The sequence below is a fragment of the Homo sapiens genome, chromosome 17 (genome assembly GCF_000001405.40).
Source record: "Homo sapiens chromosome 17, GRCh38.p14 Primary Assembly".
Lineage (NCBI taxonomy): Eukaryota > Metazoa > Chordata > Mammalia > Primates > Hominidae > Homo > Homo sapiens.
The window spans coordinates 77,570,377-77,591,111 of NC_000017.11; the positions used below are offsets into that span (position 1 = coordinate 77,570,377).

Genomic DNA, 20,735 nt, shown 5'->3' on the forward strand with positions numbered 1-20,735 from the left:
CTGGAGGGCTGTCACGTTCCCGCGGGGCCTCTCCTGCCCTGCAAAGGCTGTGTGGGGCCTTCTGTGCATGGCGCGTGGGGCCTTCTCTGCATGGCGCCTGGGGCCACAAGGCAGAGATCAGCTGAACCTGCAGCTTCTGCTGCCCTGCCCACCAGCCCCCATGTTCACCCCACCCTGATTACGATCTTCTCCAGTGCCTAGTGATGCCCTTGGGACACCTTCCCTTCCTCCACTATGTCCCCACCTGGCTGCCTGTCCCCCTGGCTGGAAGCCCCTGGGAGGAGTGGGAGGCTGCTACTGGCCAGCCTGAGCTCAGCCTGGACACTGTCTAGCTAGGCTTGGGGGCGGCCTGGAAGGACCCACATGGAACAGTGGGCGGGGGACAGTGCCGGGACCCCTGGCTCTGGCAGTCCACCAGATCCGGTGGGCTAGAGGGCCCTGCGTGTGGTGGCCACACCGCCCAGGGGAGGCCTGGCTGGTTCCACAGGCCCTGGAGGCGGGCAGATAAGTTTGGCCTTGATCTTTAACCTCCTGATCCTTGCCCAAGGAAATTGTAGGAGCCCCCAAAGCCAGAATAAACTTCTCCCTCTTCTTCTGGATGGGCCCATCCACTGCGGCCAGCCATATCTTTATTATTTTAAGCAAAAAAACTAAAGCTCTGGCCCCGTCTAGAACAAGAACCAGAGGAGAGGCTTATAGAGTTGTGTAAGCCTTGGGGGGCAGTGAGAGAAAGGTCCCCGACCTTCCACCCTCTCTGGACAGAAGTGGCTGCTGAGGGTCTAGAGAGTGCCCTCTCTCCTTGCATTAACCCCATGCAGAGTGAGTCCCCGCAATTAACGCTGCCACCCCCTGAAACTAAAGGAGCGGGGTTCGGGTGTGGAAAATCTTCCCGGATCTTCATCTGCGGCGGCCCCTGCCCCACCCCCACTGCCCCTAGCCATGGGAGCCCGAATAATCCTTGCGAAGAGAGGATAATTAATTCAAAAAGGCCACATCCTGGGGCCTCGGCCCTTTGACAAGGGAGAGGAGGGGAGGCGGGAGGGGAGGCGAGGGCCGAGCGGGGCCGCGAAGGAGGCTGTTGGAATAATCCCCATCTCAGGGCAACATCTTTCCAGCCCTAATTAGACTCCGGGGCATTATCCCTGCATGCGTTGTCGATGGCGGCCAGGAAAAGGGCGAGGCCAACTTTATTTCTGAATTTGGACTGACTTAAAGAAGTGGCATCACATTTGAAGGGCACCCAATCGCTCCGTTGCCCTCGCTGCATGAAATTGTATCTGCTTGCCACTTCCTATCTCGCCGGGCGCAGCTGGGCTGTAAGTCATTGGTGATAACATTCTTTATTATGCCGTCGTGTTTATGAACTGTGCCTGGAAAGAGATGATAGAAATATGCAGCAATATGCAAAGGCATCGGGGAGGAGGGGGAAGGGGGAGCAAATGTTAGTTGCCAGGGCAACGATGGGGCTATTTTGGGCATCGGATTTTGCGGATGATGAAAACCATTTTCCTGCAACGGTTGGACTCTCCCCTCCCCCTTCCTGGAGGCGATAAATGCACAGTGAATATTTAGGAAGGGGATGGCTTAATTTCTTAATTAAAAATTATGATCTTTTCCTCTCTGCCTCCTTTAAAAACGGATAAAAAAAATCGAAGGGTGTTGAGAAGCATTCTTGAGTGGAAGGCGAGCTTTCGTTCTGGTGGAAGGAGATGTGTGAATAATGCACTCACTTTACTGATGCCTGCCACCTCCCCCATCAGGCTCATCCACCGCCTTTCACCTACGCCGACTTAACTCTGATAAACTCCCCAAGCAAAATCCCCGAGCCCCAGACCTCAGCCTAATCTCAAAACCTCCAGGTGTTTATAAGCAAGCTGAATTCCAATGAGTCTCGGGGCAACTTGGCTTCCGACGAGATGGCTGGAAGATGGCTCCATCTCTGGGCACAGATGTCCCTGAGAAACAAAAGCTCAGGACCAGGGGCTGGGACGATGCCCTCCTCCTGCCCCTCCATCTGAGACACAGGCTTCCCGGAGGAGGGATTCGCCCTCTGCAGGCACTGGGCTGCTTATGTAAGCCTGGTCAGCTCCACACCCAAAAGGAGGCGAGGCTGGTGCCCGTCTGGATTTGTGACTGTGTCCCGCCATCCCACGTGCTGTGTCTGTTTCCATAGGGTGGAGGAGCTAATGGGTTTCAACCTTGCCTCCTCCCTGCTGTTTCCTCAGTGGCTCTCCAAGTAGGGTCCCCTGACCGGCAGCCACAACCGCAGCGTCACCTGGGGATTTGTGGAAAATGCAAAATGTAGGGGTCCCACTCCAGACTTGCTGAATCAGAACTAGAGGCAGGTTCTAAGGAAGCCCCTGCAGGTGAGGCTGATGCAGCTGCAGGGTGAGAACCGCTGTGTTAAAGACAGATGGTGCCCAGGTATGCATTATCCTGCCCCCTTGCCTGCCACACGCCCTGCCTCATAGCCTGCAGGTGCTCGATAAGTGGGTGTGGAATGAATGGATCTGGGGAAATAATCCTGCAGTATAATCTCCCACCCTCTGGCCAGCCTCTGTGCCCACTGCCCACCTGCCAGCCTCCCCAGCATGCTCTGGTGTGTGATGGGAGAGCCGAGGGCCGTGAGGACACAGCAGGTGATTTTCCAGGCTCGCAACCCAAGGTCTGGGGTTGGAGAGGGATGACTCATGGCAGCCTTTTTTCCTACTTGTCTGGGCCTCTGTGACTGGCTGGCACCCCTCTGTCAGGTGCCCCTATGAACAGGTCACCCAGACATGTCACTGAGTTCTGGTACCAGGTCTAAGACATGCTCCTGGGTCCAGAACCATCTTGCGGGGACAGCTGGCTTCTGGAAAGTTCCATAGGTGTCAAAGTTGGAGGAACAGAATGCATCTCATTGGAGGGTGGGTGGCTCTTGCTTTGTGGTTGGAATGGGTTCGTGCAGTTAACGTGCTCTTTCTGTATCTCTGGCTTTGTGACAATGAGTCGTGCTGTGATTCCCAGTACCCCTTCCTGCCCACTCCCTCCACCAGAAGGAGGACCCCTGAAGATGTCTGTGGGCCAGTTTTGGGAGGTTCTTTGGGATAAATTAGGAGAGCAGGTGGCTGGTGTCTTCAGCTGTAGGCTCTTCTTGTGGGGATGTCAGTTATCAGAACATTATTACTCTGAGTCTGAAGAGAGTAAAATGATTTATGCTTTCTTTTGAAAACAAACTTTTAATTGCTTATCAGCCAAGTAATACATTCTCATGTAGAAAAATTGAAAAATATAGAAAGGTATGAAGAAATAAAGTATCTACAGTTTTCCTGTCTGGAGATAAAAGATAATCTTTTTCTGCCTTTTAGTTTTTCTCTTTATTTTTACAGACTTGAGATCATATCGTATTCTGCTTTTTTTAGCTATCATCATAATGTGAACATTTTTCCATTTCCTTAAATAGTCTTTAATACATCCTTTTTTTAGTGGCTGCATAATATTTTATAGTGTGGCTGTATCATAGTTAAGCGTTTTTTTTTGAATAAATGATTTTCCATGTCTCTTTCAGGCTATGGAAGTGGCAGCTTGTGATTTTAATACCAAAGAAAGCCCAGAGCTCAGAGAGAGGCAGAGGTGAGTCTCTTTGTGTTTGACGCCTGGCATTTGAGTTGTGCTGAAGGAAGAGAAGCCAATCCATCACTGGGGATTGAAGTTAGCTTCTGTGGTGACATTCATGGGTGAGAGACAAAATCACTTCCCGCAGGGCAAGTGGCAGCATTTGGCATTTCGCAGGTTACCAGTGAGGTAATGGAGTCAAATAGAAGTTCACTGGAAGCTTCTTTTTAATGCCCTTGAATGGGCTGTCAAAGGAGGAAGAGGAAGAGCTGCCACTCTGCCAAGACCCGCCCTCTGCAGAGCCCTGGATACGTACCAACTGCCCCTCAGGTGCAGTAGGCCAGCAGGCTGGGGCCTTGTGCTCTTTGGGTAGGTGGACCTGCTGGCAGGGCCCTCCCCACTCCTGTGGGGGAGAAGCAGAGATCAGCCTGGAGTCTTGGGTAATATTTCTGCTCCATTTTCCCCCTCTATTTTGGGGTCCACACACCATGAATGAGAGTGGCTGAAATGAAAATCTCGAATGAACGGTATGAAGGTCAGCCCACACAGCGAGGTTTCCCGCCTGCTCCACTCTGTCCTCTCTCCGATGACACCTCAAACTTTCCATGCTTCTTTGCAGCTCTTCTTTTGCAGGAATTGGAACTTGCCACTTGTTTCCAAAGCCCTTCCAAGTCCACTCCCTTCTTCCCATCATTCCCATTACAGCCAGCTCTACCAACAGGGAACCCCAAAGGCCATAGGCGTGGTTAAGCAATACTCGAACCATGGGGCCTCTTTTGTACAAAGTTATTTCGGCAGAATTTATTGCAGCATAAGTGTAAATACCCCATGATCCTCTGGGGCAGGGGTCTCTGCAATGGCATTGTTGACATACGGGACCAGATAATTCTGTGTTGTGAAGGCCCGTCCTGAACATTGTAGGACGTTAGCAGTGTCCCTGATCCCTACCCACTAGATGCCAGTAGTAGGGTGCCCTGATCCCTACACACTAGACCCACTCAGTCATGACAACCACATATGTATTTCTTTTCTTTTCTTTTTTTTGAGATGGAGTCTTGCTCTGTTACCCAGGCTGGAGTGCAGTGGTGTGTTCTCAGCTCACTGCAACCTCCAGCTTCTGAGTTCAAGCAATTCTCCTGCCTCAGCTTCCCAAGTAGCTGGGATTACAGGCACCTGCCACCAGACCTGGCTAATTTTTGTGTTTTTAGTAGAGACAGGGTTTCACCATGTTGCCCGAGCTGGTCTCAAACTCCTGACCTCAAGTGATCTGCCTGCCTTGGCCTCTCAAAGTGCTGGGATTACAGGCGTGAGCCACCGCACCTGGCCCCAAATATGTCTTTCAACATCATCAGTTGTCCCCTGGTCATGCCCAGTTAGAACTGCTGATCTAGAACACCATTTCCCAAAATGTGTTTTGTGGAACCCAAGTTTACTGGAATGCCAGTGAGTACTTTCTGAAAAGTGAGGTCCTGAAATCAGCAGAATTTGATCAACTGTGGGCTGAACACAGTTAAAAGATTTAACAGGGCTCTGCCTCCATTTGCTTTGGATCGCTTTTCTCACTTCTCTTCTGTTCTTTACCCGGCTTTCAGCAGAGTGTCCTCTCCTGTGATTCTTTCTAGAACATCTTCATTTCTTCAGGGGTTTTATTTTTATTTTTATTGTTTTTTCCTTCCACTTCTCTGCATTATTCCAGATCACAAACCATTTCCTCTTATCTCTCCTGAGCTCTTGTATCTCTGATCTATTCTTTTGTTTCATATAGGTTCTTGCCTTTAATTTGAGTAAAGACTTTGGCCACATTTTTCATAGTTCAGTGGCAACATTTTTGGTGATGTACTGTGAATACCTCATGGCCCTGCTGCCTGGAACGTGGCGGGCACAGCTTGTCTCCACATCTGCTTCCTGCTCTGCCTGAACCTCTCCATAGCCCCCCTGCCCTCAGGCCACAGCACTTTCCAATTCTTTTTTTTTGAGACGGAGTCTCGCCCTGTCGCCCAGGCTGGAGTGCAATGGTGAGATCTCAGCTCACTGCAACCTCCACCTCCCGGGTTCAAGCAATTCTCCTGCCTCAGCCTCCCGAGTAGCAGGGATTACAGGCACACGCCACCATGCCTAGCTAATTTTTGATATCTTTAGTAGAGACTGGGTTTCACCATGTTGTCCAGCTGGTCTCAAACTCCTGGCCTCAGGTGATCCACCCGCCTTGGCCTCCCAAAGTGCTGGGATTACAGGCGTGAGCCACCGTGCCTGGCCTGCACTTTCCAGTAAAATGATGTCATTCTAAGGATAACAAGCCATGTTTGTCCAACAGATGACCCAACATCACTGGGGAAGAAAAAACAAGTGTTTGGCATTGGTGGGGAATCATTTAAGCCTGTCTGTCCCATTGCTGAGTCTCGGAGACCAATACCTAGAGTGTTTAATGATGGTGCGGCTTGAGAACAACAGGTGTGGCTGTCAGAGAGGATCATGCCCAAAGAGGAACATTCTCGATGTGGAAGTTGGGCAGATCTGCCCAGATTAGTGACTCTTCAAGAGTGGAGGAGCACAGCTTGTTTATCTGTGTTTATGAAGGGCTCCAGAGTAGACAGTTCATGTATTTATCTCTTTAGTTCTTATCACACATGCTTTCCAGGAGGTGCAGGAGAGAAGCGATAGCGTCTACTGCGTCTTTTGCTAGACAAGGGGAGAGGAAGCATGCTGTATGTATGGAGATACTTATTTAGGTTATAAATTTACCACTCACAGTCTCTAAGTTGGATTGCCCATCGGCAGTGATTTGCTCTGTTACAGTATTTAGTTTTGTTTCAAAAGCCATTGGTGATTTTAACTCTCTCCCTCCTTGTGGGCTCTAGTCTTAAATCCTACAGGACTGACACTAAATTCGTCACCTTTCTTCTCCTTCCCTCCATTTCTCCCCACAGTTTCCTTCACATGGACCACATTGTTAAGAGTAGCAGCTCACACCGGGTGAGGTGGTTTTTGCCTATAATCCCAGCACTTTGGGAGGCTGAGGCAGGCGGATCACCTGAGGTGAGGAGTTTGAGACCAGCCTGGCCAACATGGTGAAACCTCATCTCTACTAAAAATACAAAAATTAGCTGGGCGTCGTGGTGCACCCCTGTAATCCCAGCTACTCGGGAGGCTGAGGCAGGAGAATCACTCGAACCTGGGAGGTAGAAGTTGCAGTGAGCTGAGATCGCGCCACTGCACTCCAGCCTAGTCAACAGAGTGAGACTCCATCTCAAAAAAAAAAAAAAAAAAAAAAAGAAAAGAAAAAAAAGAGTAGCAGCTCAACTCTTAGGTTATGAGACTTGGAGTCACTCATTGTCTCTACTCCTTCAAACTCTAGACATTATCTGTCATCATATTTATTGTCTTTTTCCTTCCAAAATGGTTCTCAGCATCATCCCCAAAGCCCCTGCCCAGACAAACCACAGAAATGCTGCAGGCAAAAGGATAGGTGTGAGAACGTATGGCAGGGTTATGTGACTTAGCCAGGAAGAGTTGGTGGGCGTTGATGTCCAGGGAAGCACCCTCTGGGGAAACAGCTTTCTGCCTGAGACCTGAAGGACCAGCATCGTAGGAGTTCGGCAACCTGGGTTTCCTCCCTCCAGCCTGTTCCCACGGTCCTTCAGCCTGGTCTTCCTCACCTAACCCTTTGTGGCAGTTTTCTGGGGCTCCTGTAGCCAAGTACCACACACCGAGGGGCTTGAAACCACAGAAGTGTATCCTCTCACAGTTCAGAAGGCCAGATGTCCAACATCGAGGGGTTGGCAGGGTCAGTTCCTTCTGGAGGCTGTAGGGGAGGATCTAACCCATGCCTCTTCCTAGGTTTTGGGGGCTTCCGACAATCTTTGGTGTCCTTTGGCAGCCTGCAGCTGCCTCCCGTTGATATCTGCTCCATCTTCACATGGCCTCCGCATGTGTGTGTGTGTGTGTGTGTGTGTGTGTGTGTGTCTTCTCTTCTTTTTATTTTCAAAGGACACCAGTCATATCCAATTTAGGGCCTCCTGTAGTCCAGTAGGACCTCATCTTAACTTTCATTACACCTGCAAAGGCCCTATTTACACAGTAGGCCACATTCACAGATTCTGAACCTTGAACCATGAATTCTGGTGAGACACGATTCAACCCAGTACACCCTTGTTTAAGAACCGACCCAAGAGACTGTTTGAAGCTGTGCAATGAATCCCAGTTCCTGGATATCAAGTCCAAACTTCCTAGGCAGGCTTTTACTTATTTATTTATCTATTTATTTTTTGAGGCAGCGTCTCACTTTGTCCCAAGGCTGGAGTACAGTGGGGCAATTATGGCTCATTGCAGCCTCCACTTCTCGGGCTTAAGCTATCCTCCCACCTCCGCCTCCTGAGTAGCTAGGACTAGAGGTGTGACCCACCATGCCTGGCTAATTTTTTTTAATGTTTTTGTAGAGATAGGGTCGCCCTACATTGCCCAGGCTGGTCTCAAATTTCTGGTCTCAACGGATCTTCCTGCTTTGGCCTCTCAAAGTGTTGAGATTACAGGTGTGAGTCACTGTGCCTGGCCCAGGCAGAGTTTTTATTTTTATTTTTATTTTTTTCCGAGATGGAGTCTCGCTCTGTCACCCAGGCTGCAGTGCAGTGGCATGATCTTGGCTCTCTGCAACCTCTGCCTCTCTGGCTCAAGTGATTCTCATGCCTCAGCCTCCCGAGTTGCTGGGACTACAGATGTGCGCCACCATACCCAGCTAATTTTGTATTTTATTTTATTTTTATTTATTTATTTATTTATTTATTTATTTTGAGACGGAGTCTCGCTGTCTCCCAGGCTGGAGTGCAGTGGTGCCATCTCGGCTCACTGCAAACTGCGCCTCCTGGGTTCACACCATTCTCCTGCCTCAGCCTCCCGAGTAGCTGGGACTACAGGCTTTCACCACCATGCCTGGCTAATTTTTTGTATTTTTAGTAGAGATGGGGTTTCACCGTGTTTGCCAGGATGGTCTCGATTTCCTGACCTCGTGATCCACCCGCCTTGGCCTCCCAAATTGCTGGGATTACAGGTGTGAGCCACTGTGCCCGGCCTCTAATTTTGTATTTTAGTAGAAATGGGGTTTCACCATATTGCCCAGGGTGGTCTCGAACTCCTGACCTCAGGTGATCTGCCCACCTTGGCCTCCCATAGCTCTGGGATTACAGGCGTGAATCACCGCACCCGGCTAAGGCTGAGTTTTTACAAACACCATTCCGATCTATGGACTCACCCTTATATCCCACCACCCCCAGGACCATCTTCTCAGTCGAGCTCATGTTCCCGGCCCTGCCCATGCTTCTTCTGGTCACTCCTCCTACCCTTGTTGAAAGATACATTGCCCCTGCCCTGGCGTACCCCTGTGGTCCTCAGCTCTGGCCTGTCTTTTCCACGGCTGCACCAAGGCTCTTTGCCTGAGACGCTCTGTTCCCATGAGGTTCTCTTGGCCTGTGGACAGCAGGAGTTAGGAAGCCCCAAGGAATTAGCACCTCCAGGGAGCAGCCCTTATCCAGTGACTTGTGGGAGTAAGTGAATAAAGACCTCATCTTTCTTGCTCTTCTGGTGAGATAATTCTGAGGCGCATGGCAAGGATGCCATTTTCCAGAGTTCTGCAGTGGGATTAAGCTCCGCTCTCTCTCGGAGGAGACATGTTGCTACCTCACCCTTTTGAGGTTGCTTCACCTTCCCTGCCCCACTTACCCCCTCCCCTGCAGGTGCTTCCCATGACCACCTGCCACATCCACCCCCAGAAACCCTGCAGCAGGCTCCACTTCAGTGAGGATCCCAGCCTCTCATACTGCTTTCTGCACTTAAAATGCCTATTCACGGCTGATATCAAATGTATGCTCCAAACCAGTTCCACTTCCTTCTCCACACTTTCTAGGATGACGTCAACCTGCACAATTTCTCTTTTCTCAGAACCGTGAGTGCCACAAGAGTCGGAACTCCTTTGGCCTTTCTGCTGCTTTTTGGCTTTGTTTGATTTCTCTTTCACAGAGACCATGTTTTTTGCATCTCATGTGGAGCACGTCAAACAACTTCCTAAAATTTCCCCAGAGCTCGTATAGAATCTGTGCTTCCTCCAAGTCTGCAAAATTCTGTTCCTTTTTCCTTGTCCTGTGTCACCTTTTTACCGTGGGCTTATTGTTTTTCTTCTCTTGTCTTTTTTCTTTTCTTTCTTTTTTTTTTTTTCATTTTTTGAGCCAGAGTTTCGCTCTTTTACCCAGGCTGGAGTGCAGTGGTGCAATCTCAGCTTGCTGCAACCTTCGCCTCCCAGGTTCAAGCGATTCTCCTGCCTCGGTCTCCCGAGTAGCTGGGATTGCAGGCATGTGCCACCACACCCTGCTAATTTTTGTATTTTTAGTAGAGACGGGATTTTGACATGTTGGCCAGGCTGGTCTTGAACTCCTGACCTCGTGATCCACTCAGCTCGGCCTCCCAAAGTGCTGGGATTACAGGTGTGAGGCACCGCACCTGGCCTTCCTTGTCTTTTTATTCATTCTTGCAGGAGGAAAGAAATTTCCAGAGCCAACTGACATTTACCATCATGTCTATTTGCTGAAAAAGAAAAACAAACAAAAACAAAACCCTACTGGCCTCCCTTTCTTGGGTCTGCAGTGGGGCAGCCGTTCTTGGCAGGGTCCTGGGGTCTAGTTGAGTTTTTCCATGTGGTTCTGCTGTATTCAAGTAGGATTTTCTCCCACCCCTTTCCACTTGATGACAACACTCAGAACCAGGTGGATTGCGTGGAACCGTCCGAGCCTCCGGCTGCTCTGGAGTGCAGGTAGCCTGCCACCTGCTCCTGCTCTGACTGTGGTCACTGGAGCCATATCCACAGCCTATTTGTGGTTCTGTGCTGGTTTTCTCTTTGATAGACTATTTTATCCAAGATGTGCTAGGAATCACAGACCAAGGCTGAGGCTGTGGCTTCTGCAAAAGTTTGTTAATTCCTGCTCTTCCCACCTCCTGCTTGCCCAATACCATCGAGAAAGAGCCAGAGAGAAAAAGGGAAATCCCCTCCACACTGCTCCCTGCATCCTGGCTCCTCAACTTGCTCATCCTCAGGCCCCATGAAAGCTGCAGGGGATGGGAGCACTTGGGATTGTGAGGAGGTGGCAGCTGCAGAGGCTCTTCCTCATGGGGTGTTTATGCAAAGGTTTGTGCCCCAGTTGGGTGTGGGAGGACACACACGAAGTGGTGGCCAGACCCCTGTCAGCCTCTGGGCCCTCATTAAAGGCCGGTCCTCTCTGGCTGTCTTCTCAGCCCCTTGGCCTTATGCTTTGGTGCATTCATGTTTCTTAATAGTGTAAGGTGAACAACAGTCTTGGTTTGCTCAGGACTAAGAGGATCCCCCAGATGCAGGGTCTTCAGTGCTAAGTTGGTGACCCTGGTAGTTAGGAAGCATTATTATTATTATTATTATTATTATTATTATTATTATTAGAGACAGGGTCTCACTGTGTCACCCAGGCTCAAGCTGGAGTGCAGTGGCACAATCATGGCTCAGTGCAGCCTCAAACCCCCAGGCTCAAGCGATCTACCTGTGTCAGCCTCCTGAGTGGCTGGAGGCATGCACCACCATGCCCAGCTAATTTTTTTGCACCACTATGCCCAGCTAATTTTTCTGTAGAGACAAGGCTTCACTATGTTGCCCAGGCTGGTTGTGAATGCCTGGCCTCAAGCAATGCTCCTGCCTCAGCCTCTTAAAGTGTTGGGATTATGGGCATGAGTCACTGTGTCTGGCCTGGATACGTGATTTTTTTTTTTTTTGCATTGACACAGTCACAGCTCCCAGCCTATGCTCAGTATTTTTAGCTAGTGTCCTTCTCTGTATCCTCTTGGCTACTCACTTGGTTTAAATGAATATATTATAGATGATATATCTAATATAACCAATGCAAGTAATTTTCTACTCTCTTAATTTTTGTACACAAAAGTCCTACTAAAAAGGCTTGCCACATCCCTCCTAAACTAGAGAGATGTCACTGACAGGCATGTTGGGGAGAGGGTGGACAGGCCCTGATGAGTGGCATGTCCCTTGAGTCCCCAATAGCTCTCAAGCAGACAGATGCCATTCTTCCCGGCTGCTCCCCTCGGCCCTGCTGGCTTTTAGGAGAGGCATGCCGTATGGGTGGGAAGAGAGGGGGCTTCTGGGTGGGGGTGGGGGGGGTCCCACACATGTGCTTCTCCAAAAAGCATCCCCGTGGAGTCTGCTGGCCCAACTTTCTGTGATGCACCTCAGACATTCTCTAATCACAAGGCTTCTATTTGTGTTATTATTTCTATATTTAATTAAGGTATATATACATTGCATTTTAAAAACCTGGATTCAGGCCAGGCACGGTGGCTCATGCCTGTAATCCCAGCACTTTGGGAGGCTGAGGTGGGTGGATCACCTGAGGTCAGGAGTTCGAGACCAGCCTGGCCAACATGGTGAAACTCCATCTCTACTAAAAATACAAAAATTAGCTGGACATGGTGGTGCGTGCCTATAATCTCACTACTTGGGAGGCTAAGGCAGGAGAATTGCTTGAACCTGGGAGATGGAGTTTGCAGTGAACCGAGATTACGCTACTGCACTCCAGCCTGGGTGACAAAGCAAGACTCCGTCTTGAAAAAAAACAAAAACAAAAAAAAAACTTGGATCTGGTTTTTAAAGGGTTTGAAAACCTGATTATTTCAAGAGAATGTGTGATGAGCCCTCTGTGCAGTGAGGGAAACTGTAGCTCATCCTGTGGGTGGAACTATTACCTTCAATTCAATTTATTTATATTATTAATTCGGAATTTATTTTTCGTAGAGTCTGGTCTGTCTGGATTTCAACAGGCTAATGGCCAGAAAGAAATCACTGTCTACTGAACAGAAGCTAGTTTACGTCCTGATAAATAGAAAGATACAGAAGGGTGTTGGCTTAAGAGTAAGTGACACCCCCACCTTCTTCAACCCTCTGCACTTCTCAGTCTCATTCCTCAGACAACCATAAGTAACAGATTCCTGAATACCCTGAATATCCTTCCAGAAGTTGTGTATGGATACATAACAAATATCTGTATATATTTTTTTTGCACAATTAGGATCATACTACATCTACAGTTTTAATCCTTTTTTTTCACTCTATAATAGATCTTGGATAATTTCATTTAGCTGTAGATTGATTTCAATTGTATTGTAATAGACACAGCATTCCAGTTTATGGGTCAGACCTGATTTATTTATTTAGTTTTTTTTTTTTTAATAGTAACTGTTAGAAGTGCTGCTGCATTGCACAGCTCTGCACGTCTCTCTCTGCAGTTGTGCTGGTGTATCATGGGGGAATACTCTCGGATGCAGAGTCACTGGGTTAAAGAATTAAACTTTGATTAAACATTCATCAAAGTTATGAGAGCAACAAATGCACAATATTACCAACGATTAAAAGGTAATTTAGGCCGGGCGCGGTGGCTCATGCTTGTAATCCCAGTACTTTGGGAGGCCGAGGGCTCGTAATCCCAGTACTTTGGGAGGCCGAGGCAGGCAGATCACTTGAGGCCAGGAGTTTGAGACCAGCCTGGCCAACATGGCAAAACCCTGTCTCTACTAAAAACGCAAACATTAGCTGGGCGTGGTGGCATGCACCTGTAATCTCAGCTACTTGGGAGGCTGCGGCAGGAGAATCACTTGAACCCGGGAGATTTTAGTGAGCCGAGATCGCACCACTGCGCTCCAGCCTGGGCGACAGAGCAAGACTCTGTCTCAAAAAAAAAAAAAAAAAAAAAAAGAAAAAGGTAATTTAGACAGGCAATTAGTGCCTGGGACAGCCACATCATTCATCTAGGTGCACCTCACTTTCGAAATCCGTTTCGCACCTTAGGTAACTGAAGCAGAACAGGCAGAGGAGGATGGACAATTCTGCCTGGTGGGGGTTGGGGTATTCAGACATGAACAAGCAAAAGTGCCCCAGCAGGCAGGGTGGGATGAATGGGAATCCAGGAGTGGTAATATTTGGAACCTGTGTGTCAATAAAATGTTGATCTTTGGAATGATTTCCCCATCGACTTGTAAGACATCATTGTTTCTGAGATGCTTTAACTTCGGTTGATCTTTTTTGGTATAAACTTTCTATTTTGAAATAATTTTAGATCTATCTATAATGCAAAGATGATGCAGAGAGTTCCTGATTCTCAACTAGGAGCAACGTCAATTTGGCAATGTCTGGAGACACTCTTGGTTGTCCCATCCTGGGATGGGGTGCGGTTCTTCCTGGCATCTTGGGGGTAGTAGAGGACAGGGAGGCTGCTGAACGTCCTATGGCACACAGGATGGCCCCACAACAACGAATGATCTAGCCCAACGTGGCAATAGTGCCAGAACTGAGAAGTCGGCCCATACCCTTCACCCAGCTTCTCCTAATGTCAGCATCTTATAATAACCACAGCACCTTTATTAAAACTAAGAAATTAACATTGTACGATTCTATGATCACTGGCTTTTTTTAAACCTCTGTCTGTCTACTTAGGCTGCTATAACAAAATGCCTTAGACTGGATAATTTATAAGCAACAGAAATTTCTTGCTTACAGCTCTGGAAGCTGGAAAGTCCACGATCAAGTTGCCATCAGATTCTGTGTCTGGTGAGGGCTCGCTCCTCATGGATGTCAACTTTTGTGTACTCATGTGACAGGAGTGAACAAGCTCCCTCGGGCCTCTTTTATTATTATTATTATTATTATTATTATTGAGATGGAGTCTCGCTCTGTCGCCCAGGCTGGAGTGCAGTGGCGCAATCTCGGCTCACTGCCACCTCCGCCTCCTGGGTTCAATCAATTCTCCTGTCTCAGTCTCCCGAGTAGTTGGGACTACAGGCGCTCGCCACCACACCCAGCTAATTTTTGTATTTTTAATAGAGATGGGGTTTCAGCATATTGGTCAGGCTGGTCTCGAACTCCTGACCTCAGGTGATCCACCTGCCTCCGCCTCCCAAAGTGCTGGGATTACAGGCGTGAGCCACTGCACCCGGCCTCTTTTATTATTTTTTAATTTTTAAAAATTTATTTTAGATCGGGGTTCCATGTGCAGGTTCCTTACATGGATATATTGCATGATGCTGATGTTTGGCTTCCGTTGAAACTATCACCCAAATAGTGAATGTTGTACACAATAGATAGTTTTTCAGTCCTTATCCCACCTCCTTTTGGAATCCCCAGTGTCTATTATTTCCATATTTATGTCCATTTGTACTCATTGTTTAACTCCTGTTTATAAGTAAGAATACGTGGCATTTGGTTTTCTGTTTCTGCATTAATTCACTTAGGATAGTGGCCTCCAGCTGCATCCATGTTGCTGTGAAGGACATAATTTCATTCTTTTCATGGCTGCATAGTATTCCATGGTGTATATGTACCACGTTTCTTTATCTAATCCCCCATTGATGGGCACCTTGGTTGATTCTATGTCTTTGCTATTGCGAATAGTGCCGGGAAAAACATGTCAGTGCAGGTGTCGTTTCAGTAGAATGATTTGTCTTCCTTTGGGTATATACCCAGTAATGGGATTGCGGGTTGAATGATAATTCTACTTTTAGTTCTTTGAGAAATCTCCAACCTGCTTTCCACAGGGGCTGAACTAATTTACAATCCCATCAATTGCATATTTGCATTCCCTTTTTGCTGCAACCTTGCCAACATTTGTTATTTTTTGACCTTTTAATAGTACCCATTCTGACTGGTATGAGATGGTATCTCATTGTGGTTTTGATTTGCATTTCTCTGACGATTAGTGATGTTGAGCATTTAAAAAATACGTTTTTGGCCGCTTATATGTTTTCTTTTGAGCAGTGTCTCAAAAGACACTGTGTGTCCTTTGCCCACTTTTTAATGGAGTTGTTTCTTTTTTTCTTCTTGATTTGCTTAAGCTCCTTATAGATTATGGACATGAATCCTGCGTCAGATGCATATTTTGCAAATTTTTCTCCCATTCTGTAAGTTGTCTGTTTATTCTGTTGATAATTTATATTGCTGCACAGAAGCTCCTTAGTTTAATTACGTCCCAATTGTCAATTTTTGGTTTTGTTGTGTTTGCTTTTAAGGATTTAGTCATAAATTGTTTGCCTAGGCCAATGTCCAGAAAAGTATTTCCTAGGTTTTCTTCTAGGATTTTTATAGGTTGAGGTCTTACATTTAAGTCTTTAATCCATCTTGAGTTCATTTTTGTATATGGTGAGAGGTAGGGGTCAAGTTTCATTCTTCTGCATATGGCTGGCTAGTTTTCCCAATACCATTTATTGAATAGGATGTCTTTTCCCCATTATTAATTTTTGTTGACTTTGTCAAAGATCAGTTGGTTGTAGTTATGCAGCTTTATTTCTTGGTTCTCTATTCTGTTCCATTAGTCTATATGTCCATTTTTGTACCAGCACCAAACTACTGTAGCCTTGTAGTGTAGTTTGAAGTCAGGTAATGTGAGCCTCCTCCCTTGTTCCTTTTGCTTAGGATTGCTTTGGCTATTTGGGCTCTTTTTCGGTTCCATATGAATTTTAGAATAGTTTTTTCTAATTCTGTGAAGAATGACCTTGGTAATTTTATAAGAATTGCATTGAATCTGTAGCTTGCTTTGGTCAGTATGGACATTTTAATGATATCAATTCTTCCAATCAATGAGCATGGAATGTTTTTCTATTTGTTTGTGTCATCTATGATTTATTTCAGCAGTGTTTGGTAGTCCTCCTTGTGGACATTTTTCACCTACTTGGTTAGATGTATTCCTAGGTATTTGTGTGTGTATGACTATTATAAATGGAACTACATTCTTCATTTGTTTCTCAACTTGAGCATTATTGGGGTATAGACATGCTACTGATTTTTGTATATTGGTTTTGTATCCTGAAACTTTACTGATCATTTATTAAAGTTTAGGAGTCTTTTGGTGGAATCTTTGAGTTTTCTAGTTATAGAATTATATCATCAGTGAAGAAAGATAATTTGACTTCCTCTTTTCCAATTTGGATGCCTTTTATTTCTTTCTCTTGCCTGATTGCTCTGGCTAGGACTTCCAGTACTACGTTGAATAGGAGTGGTGAGAGTGGACATCCTTGTCTTGTTTCAGTTCTTAGGGGGAATACTTCCAACCTTTGCCTATTCAGTATGATATTGGCTGTGGGTTTGTCATAAATGACTCTTATTGTTTTGAGGTATGTACCTTTGATGCCTAGTTTTTTGAGGGTTTTTATCATTAAGGGATGTTAGATTTTATTGAGTGCTTTTTTTCTGCATCTATTGAGATGATCATATGATTTTTGTTTTAAATTCTGTTTATGTGGTCAATCACATTTATTGATTTTCATATATTGAACCATCCTTGCATCCCTGGAAGCAAGCCCATTTGAACTTGGTGGATTATCTTTTTGATGTGCTGCTGGATCCAGTTTGCTAATATTTTGTTGAGGATTTTTGTGTCTATGTTCGTTAGGGATATCGTGATTTCTTTGTTGTTGTATCTTGGCATCAGGGATCTTTTATAAGGGCCCCTAATCCCATCCATGATGGCAGACCCCTCACAATCTAATCATCTCCCAAAGGCCCTACCTCTTAAAACTATCACCTGGGGATTAAATTTCAACATATGAATTTTAGGGAGACACAAACATTCAGACCATAGCACCCTCTTACCACATTTTTAGGTGTGTAGTATATTATTGGTAAGTATAAGCACAATGGTGTACAGCAGACCTCTAGAACTTTTCATCTTGTGCAACTGAAACTTTATACACACTGAACAGCTGTTCCCCACTTTCCTCTCCCTAGCTACAGGCAACTAACCATTCTACCCTCTGTTTATATGAGTCTGACTCTTAGATACCTCATATGAATGGAATCATGCATTGCTTTTCCTCTGTGTCTGGCTTATTTTACTTACCATTATGTCTTCCAGGTTCATGTGTGTTGTTGCATATGGCAGGACTTCCTTCTTTTTAAAGGATGAATGATATTCCATTATATTTACCATATTTATTTTATCCATTCATCAGTAAATGGGCAGTCAGTTTACTTCCACATCTTGGCTATTGTGAATAATGCTTTTTTTTTTTTTTTGAGATGGAGTCTCACTCTGTTGGCCAGGCACGATCTTGGCTCACTGCAACCTCCACCTCCCAGGTTCAAGCGATTCTCCTGCTTCAGCCTCCTGAGTAGTTGGGACTATAGTCATGCACCACCACACCCAGCTAATTTTTGCATTTTTAGTAGAAATGGGGTTTTGCCATGTTGGTCAGGCTGGTCCCGAACTCCTGACTTCAGGTGATCCACCCACCTCAGCCTCCCAAAGTGCTGGGATTACAGGCATGAGCCACTGCGCCTGGCCTGCTGTTGTGAATAGCACTGCAATGAACACAGAAGTGCAAATATCTCTTCAAGGTCCTGATTTTGGTTCCTTTGAATGAATACCCAGAAGTGGGATTGCTGGATCCTATGGTAATTCTATCTTTAATTTTTCGAGGAGCCTCCAGACTGTCTTCCACAGCAGCTGCACCATTTCACATTCCCACCAATCGTGCACAAGTGTGCCAATCTCTTCACATCCTCATCAACACACATTATTATTATTTTTAAAATGGCTGCTCTAACAGATGTGAGGTGGTATTTCACTGTTGTTTTGTCTACGTGATTAGCAATGTCGAGCATCTTTTGATGTTCCTGTTGGCCATTTGTACATATTCTTTGAAGAAATGCCTGTTCAAGTTCTTTTCCTCTTTTTAAAATTGGGTTATTTGTTTTTTGCTACTGAGTTGTAGGAGTTCCTTGTATTATTATGGATATTAACCCCTTATCAGATATGTGGTTTGAAAATATCTTCTGTCTGGGCGTGGTGGCTCACGCCTATAATCCCAGCACTTTGGGAGGCCGAGGCAGGTGGATCACCTGAGGTCAGGAGTTTGAGACCAGCCTGGCCAACATGGTGAAACCCTGCCTCTACTAAAAATAAGAAAATTAGCCAGGCGTGGTGGCGGGCACCTCTGTTATTCCAGCTACTTGGGAGCCTGAGGCAGGAGAATCGCTTGAATCCAGGAGGCGAAGGTTGCAGTGAGCCGAGATTGTGCCACTGCACTCCAGCCGGGGTGACAGAGTGAGACGCCATCTCAAAAAAAAAAAAAAAAAAATCTTCTCTCATTCCATAGGTTGCCTTTTATTTTTTATTTATTTATTTTTTGAGATGGAGTCTCACTCTGTCGCCCAGGCTGGAGTGCAGTGGCACGATCTTGGCTCACTGCAACTTCCGCCTCCTGGGTTCAAGCAATTCTCCTAACTGAGCCTCCTGAGTAGCTGGGATTACAGTTGCACACCACCACGCCTGACTAATTTTTTTGTATTTTTAGTAGAGACAGGGTTTCACCATGCTGGCCAGGCTGGTCTCGAACTCCTGACTTCAGGTGATCCACCCACCTTGGCCTCTCAAAGTGCTGGGATTACAGGTGTGAGCCACTGCTCCCAGCCTCATAGATTGCCTTTTAAAATTTATTTTTCAATTGACAATGAAAAGTATATACACTTATCATGTACAACATGTTCTTAAGTATGTATACATTAAAGAATGTCTAAATTGAGCTACTTAACATATGCATTACTCATATACTTATTTTTTTCGTGAGAAGACTTAAAAAGTACTCTCTTGGCAATTTTCAAGAATACAACAGGCTTAATAATATTCCATTGTGTATATATACCACATTTAAAAAAATTCACTCATCCGTTGATGGACACAAGTTGATTCCATATTTTGGCTACTGTGAATAGTGCTATAATAAACATGGGAGTGCAAATATCTCTTCGACATACTAAGTTTATTTCCTTTGGGTATGTACCCAGTAGTGGGATTGCTGGATCATATGGAGTTCTATTTTTAATTTTTTGAGGAACCTCCTACTGGTTTCCAAAATGGCTATACTAATTTACATTCCCATCAACAGTGTGCCAGGGCTTCCTTCTTCCACATCCTCAACAACACCTGTTATCTTTTGTCTTCTTCATAATAGTGATTCTAACAGGTGTGAGGTGACGTCTCATTGTAATTTTAATTTGCATTTCCCTGATGATTCGTGATGTTGAGCATTTTTTCATATACGTGTTGGTCATTTGTACTTCTTCTTTGGAGAAATGTCTATTCAGGTGCTTTGCCCATTTTTTAATTGGGTTATTAGTTTTCTTACTATTGAATAGTTTGGGTCCTTACATACTTTTTATGTTAATCCCTTGCCAGATGCAGGGTTTGCCGGTATCAGTTGCTTCCCAAGCTGTGCTGGCTACGTGAAGAGGGACCCAGCCTGCTCAGGGAGGAGGCGCCAGACACCTGGAGTGCAGGGTCCCACCTTCTCTCCCTCTGTGGGTTTTTCGCTCTGCTGATTGTTTCCTTGTTTTTTTTTTTTTTTTTTTTTTTTGAGACAGAGTCTCGCTGTGTCGCCCAGGCTGGAGTGCAGTGGCACGATCTCGGCTCACTGCAAGCTCCGCCTCCCGAGTTCACGCCATTCTCCTGCCTCAGCCTCCCAAGTAGCTGGGACTACAGGTGCCCGCCACCATGCCTGGCTAATTTTTTAATGTATTTTTTAGTAGAGACAGGGTTTCACCGTGTTAGCCAGGATGGTCTTGATCTCCTGACCTTGTGATCCACCTACCTCGGCCTCCCAGAGTGCTGGGATTACAGGGGTGAACCACTGCGCTCGGCTTTGCCACGATCAGCTTGGCTTTTTAAAACTTTAGTTTTGTTTTTATTACTCCATACCTCTTCAACTCTCAGTAAGTCACTAGTGGCCTGAAACAAAATGTAAGTGCGCTAGGGAGCTTCCTCTGTGGGATGAGCCATTTTATAACACAAAACCTTCTGCCACACGGATCGCCTTTTCATCATTAATTTGTCTGGTAAATATCACATTAGTCCAGGCTTTACAAAATCAGATACTAGATGTACTTCCCATGAAAACATGAACAAATCTGCATTTGGAAGATCTGGGTGGCAGGACACAGAGGTGAGGGACCTTTCCGGAGGGTCCAAGTCCTCCCTCTGGAGGACAGTCACTATCTAGAACTGTGTCTACAGGAACTGTTTTCATGCATCCAGATGTGGACATGAAGGACCAGCCCACGGTAATGACTGGCTAAGTCAATT

The 20,735-nt window shown here is 46.2% G+C and overlaps 3 annotated features.

The window, feature by feature from the left end:
* Positions 1,187-2,126: an enhancer, noted in NCBI's record as "H3K4me1 hESC enhancer chr17:75567645-75568584 (GRCh37/hg19 assembly coordinates)". NCBI's record gives its function as "activates a minimal SCP1, AML or CMV promoter by ChIP-STARR-seq in primed H9 embryonic stem cells {active_cell/tissue: H9 hESC(primed)}" and the evidence as "EXISTENCE:reporter gene assay evidence [ECO:0000049][PMID:30033119]".
* Positions 2,127-3,065: an enhancer, noted in NCBI's record as "H3K4me1 hESC enhancer chr17:75568585-75569523 (GRCh37/hg19 assembly coordinates)". NCBI's record gives its function as "activates a minimal SCP1, AML or CMV promoter by ChIP-STARR-seq in primed H9 embryonic stem cells {active_cell/tissue: H9 hESC(primed)}" and the evidence as "EXISTENCE:reporter gene assay evidence [ECO:0000049][PMID:30033119]".
* Positions 9,488-9,597: an enhancer, noted in NCBI's record as "active region_12851". NCBI's record gives its function as "activates an Ori minimal core promoter by ATAC-STARR-seq in GM12878 lymphoblastoid cells {active_cell/tissue: GM12878}" and the evidence as "EXISTENCE:reporter gene assay evidence [ECO:0000049][PMID:35858748]".